Source organism: Homo sapiens, chromosome 18, assembly GCF_000001405.40.
Source record: "Homo sapiens chromosome 18, GRCh38.p14 Primary Assembly".
In the NCBI taxonomy this organism is placed as follows: domain Eukaryota; kingdom Metazoa; phylum Chordata; class Mammalia; order Primates; family Hominidae; genus Homo; species Homo sapiens.
In genome coordinates, this window is record NC_000018.10 from 73,838,424 (window position 1) to 73,843,340 (window position 4,917).

A 4,917-nucleotide genomic window follows, 5' to 3' on the forward strand; every position below is an offset into this window, starting at 1 on the left:
TGGAGAATGAGGACAAGGGAAAAGAGAATCTCTCACTGTCAAGGTATTATTTAGGAAAGTATCTCATAGGAAGACAGCATGAGACTGGCCTTAGAGGTAGAATTCACAGATAAACTTGAATTTTGGGGAAAAAAAGCAGTTATCTGTTGTTTATCTGAATTTATCAGATTTAACCTGGTGTCCTGTATTTTTATTTATTTATTTTTTTGTCATACCTGAAAACCCTACTTAGAGGTCACTGCATCTAACTGAATGACTACATTTACTGAAAGAGTTTATATAATGCTTATTTCAGCAAGTTCCAGAAATAGCACCTGTCACAAAACAACAAGCAGAGAAATATCCCATGTCCCTGATGAAGTAAGCGAAGGGACCCCACTCAAGTTACCTAACCATCTAGTGTCTCTCTTGGTGGGAACATCTTATAGTTAGGGTAAGTAGGCAATCTCCTGAGTTGAGAGGCATGAGAGATGTTTTCTTCCTATTCCTGGACTTCATACTCTAACTTCCATAAATGCAACCATAATTGCAAAAAGTTACACCTAGAGAATCTGGCCACATACCCCATAAGAGAAAAGCAGGGAAATCACAAAAAAGAACTCAAGGCCTCCTGGTGCAGCTCATAGGCTGAGAAAAAGAAAGAAAGTTGGGTGCAAGGAGAAAAGTAATGCACCTCCATGATATCAGCAAAAGAAAGATCAGGCTGCAGAAAGTGCAGAAGAAAACGCTCTCCGTGAAGGTAGAATGAACAGTCTGCTGCAGAACAATGTAGAGGGAACATGGATCCCCCTCTCCCTTCAGTCTCCTAAGAAAAGAGAGTTGGAGGATAACGATGAGTCTCTGTGTCTCTCTCCCATCTTTCCAGGGAGACCCTAGGACTCCCAATGTGGGAGTCACAATCAGTCCGGTGATCATGGTTATGAACCACTGAGATGTCTACCAGGTTAAGTGAAGGAAAGCAATGCAGCCAAAGCACCAAAAGTGAATGTTGGGGCCCCAACTACGAAACCTCACTACATGATCAGGGAATTGGTGAAGGTATTTGGAGACAGTCTACCAGAACTCATGATGAAAGCCAGTGGCGGCTGATGTTTACGCTGGTTTAATTTAATCAACTTCTGCTCCAGGAAATTGCTCAACAAACGTTGCAAATAGACTCTTTGCCATAAAACCCCAGTACTTGTTAAGGAATCCTGTAGCCACTGAACTCAAACCCAGCCCCTCTCTGACACTCTACAAGCAATACCAGGTCTCCTTCTGGCACGCTCTTTGCAGCCTGGAGAATCCAAATATTGCTGAGCATCCTGGACTGGAGACTGGACCACCTATCCCCACTGCCCCCACCCTTTCCTTGCCCTGGTAGGGCCAGGTGCCCAGTGGTGCTGGATGGGTGAAACAACTAGTCTTAATACAGTCACAGCAGGGTGGGGGAAGGGAAATATAAATTATCTAAAGATAGATAGCTAAGTTTTATTTATTTGATGAAAGAAAAACATAAAATGTGCCTATAGGTGAAAGTATAACAAATGACCAATACTCTGGACCTTATATAGAAAAAGGCAGGACAGTTGGCAGCTAGGTTTCTTGAGCCTTGACTTGCAATTTATCAAAAGGATCATTCTTGACAAGTCTGGGATCCTTTGGCCCTCTCCACTCCCTAGAAAGGTGTTGCTATAGCCCTGGCCACTATTAAATGAGGTGCACTCTCCCTTCTTCTGCATGTGCTGGTGAATGCCACACATCCAGGAAGACCAGGCTCCTTGGACCACACCAACTAGAAGTGAGGTCTCCACAACCCGTGCAGGTCAACATAGCTGACCAGCTGGCATGGCCCACTAGAGACACACTATCTCGAACCTGCTAGATGCAAATTGCTAGGTGCATAAATCTGTTAGGCCAGAGATGCTTGGGACAGTTGCCGCATCTGTGCAGCAGATTTGGGGAAAATTAGGACAGAAGTAACCCTAAGAAATGATTGCAGCAATTGCAGTAGCATTAAAATGCTGAGTGCACTGCACAGCCTTCCCTTCCTTCTGAATGTGGTCATTATGTAACTAATGGTCTAATTAGGAGAGTCATGTAAGCCCAGCATTGTGCCCTCCTGGCGGCAAGCACTGTGGATTTCCAAAGCCATGGCTTTCGGAGGCTATCTCTGTTTTAATGCAGAGAAAGAGTAGCACAGAGTTGAGGCAGAGAAGTCAGAGGGGAGCTCAGAGCATCAGATGCATTTCAGTGACAATCCCTGTAACCTTGAAAGAGTCAGCAAATCCCTGTGTCCCTCACACCAGATTGCAGCAGGGCCTTGAGTCAATAAGCTATGAAGTTAGCGATGCGTCCTCCTGGGAAGGTGGCGAGCGAGGCATCCATCATGTTCCCTCTTTCAGCCTGTTCCAAGGAGAGAGCCTCTGAGAGCCGTGGAAACCATTTCCCGGGCCCATTAGGCTCTGGCCCTGTGGTGCAGTAGCAGCTGTCACCTCGTGCCAGCCAAGGCTCACCAAGTGGAGGCCGAGGGAAAGGTGGGTGCACAAATACCTGCCAGGAAGAGAAGCAGGACTCTGCCTGGGAATGCAAGGGGACAAAGCAGCTTCTCTGCTCTGCGATATAAAAGAGCTTAAACTCAGCTTCTCAGGGTTTCTGCAGGACATCGCAGAGGTTCACACATCATTCAGTGAGGCTCAGGACATTCCTGTGGTGTTTAGACAGTAACCTGCAGATGGAACCCACTTTGTTTTAAAAAAATACATATTCACGGATTTTTTTTAAAAAAGAAGAAGTCACTGGCAAGGAAAACATACAAAATCAAGAGGAAAAGCATATTTTATGTTTTCTCTTTGGCCCCATTTCTTGGAGATAACAGTTACCACTTTTGTGTGTTTTTCCAAGTTTTTCTATGCTGCTCAAGCACACACACATACACAAACACATATCTATCTATCTATCTATCTATCTATCTATCTATATATAGATATAATTGATAAATCCTTTTTATGCAAATGACACCACATCGTAAATACTATTCTGGTTAGAAAGAATGAATAAGACCTACTATTTGATAGCACAATGGGGTGACTATAGTCAATAATAACTGTACATTATAAAATAAAGGGTGTAATTTGATTGTTTGCAACTCAATGGATAAATGCTTGAAAGAGTAGATGACCCATTCTTCACGATGTGCCTGTTCACATTGCATTCCTGTATTGAAACGTCTCATGTACATCATAAATATATACACCTACTATACACTCACAAAAATTAAAAGTAAAAATAAATGAATACTATTCTGCAATTTTTTCAGTTAATATTTCTTGAACGTTGTTCAAGATGTATCACTGTATGGACAATATACCAGTAAATATAAATAAACAGAATTGATCTGTTTGAATTACTGCACTATTTTGCATTATTATGGATACACTCACAGAACCAGTCCCCTAGTGGTGAACAATCAGGTTGTTTATAGGCTTCCTTTTTATTGCAAACAATGCTGTAATTAAAAAAAAATCTTCACATATATACTGCTAACTATTTGTGCAAGCATGTGTGCTGGTTAAATTCCTAGTCCTGGAATTACTAGATTAAAGGAGATATGTATTTTAAATGTTGTACTATTGGACAAACTGCTGTCCACAGAGGTCACACCTATTCTTGCCTACACTTCTGATGCTGATTGAGCTCCCTGTTTAAGGGATGGCTCTTCCGCAGTGAATGCAAAAGGTCTATATCAATAAAATGTAAAATAAAAGCATTGAGAAAGCTCACAAACAAACCTATTCTAACCAGTAATGCTTGGCTAAGTACCTGATTTAAAGCTTAGATCAGTCAAGCTCTTAACAGAAGTAATCCAAATAAAAATGTGACAGTTTGCAAGTAGAGCTGGGGAAGGAGAAGGAGCCTGTGGAGAAGGTTCCTGTAGTTAAATTTCACAGTGTGTGTTCCACTGGGCTCCTGGTGAAATTTTATGTTTTATCTTTCAGTGGTTGTATGCCACCGGCTAGGTGGCTCAATCATTTTACACCAGTAAAGATACTTATTTAACAGGAGAACAATGCTATACACTCAATATGTACTGAGCATCACAAATATTCTCAGGCCTTTCATTGCTTCCATTACCAGGGAGATAATATCTAGCATAAAAAGTTTTTACAATCTTAAGTTTAAAACCAGACAGGATAGAGACCTCATGGGGAAGGTTGTTTCCTACAGGTGAATGAAGACAATACAGAGTGCTTTGGGGTTTTTATTCTTTCATTCTCTTTTGTAACTTTTTTATTTGCCCTTAGAAAAGCAGGAACTGCTCTAAACTAAAAAATAAAATGAAACTCATGCCTACATTTGAATCAAATCTCTCCCTCCCTAATGTTTAACTAGAAACATAATTGATTTTGTGCTGAACAGATAGGAGGTTGTCAAGCTGATATTTCATTCCCAAGATCTCTATCAAAGTTGTCCAAAAAAAGCAAACAGTCATTATTTATCCCCAAACCCATTAAGCGACCCCATTATTTATTTCCTCGGCCATTTACGAAGCTGCATGCGCATGCTTTCTTCAGCTGCACCACCTAGCGGGTCACGCAAGCAATTGCAGCCCGGGTTGTTCTCTGGAGCCAGTCTCCACAGCAGGAAAAGAAAACTTTATCAGTGTTATAATTAACCACATCATTTATTTAACTTTGATAAATATTTAATAATAAAATTTTTAAGCTCAAGTTAAAGGAATACCACCCTGAAGATGCATTTGTATTTCCCTTGGAGAGAAGAGAAATGTTATTGTCAAGATGGCAGGAAAAAAACTGCCTTAAGCCTGTGTGGTAACCAAAGTTCCCAAAAGAATCAATCAAGAATGTCATCAGAAAATGACTATAAGATAGTCGGCATGGTAACTGGGATATTGAGGCAGTTCTTCGTTATCTGTGT

At 41.1% G+C, this 4,917-nt stretch overlaps 1 annotated feature.

Annotated features, from left to right (window-relative positions):
* Nucleotides 4,528–4,701: a silencer, noted in NCBI's record as "fragment chr18:71510186-71510359 (GRCh37/hg19 assembly coordinates)". NCBI's record gives its function as "represses an EF-1alpha promoter that drives an FKBP-Casp9 reporter gene in an ReSE screen in K562 erythroleukemia cells {active_cell/tissue: K562}" and the evidence as "EXISTENCE:reporter gene assay evidence [ECO:0000049][PMID:32094911]".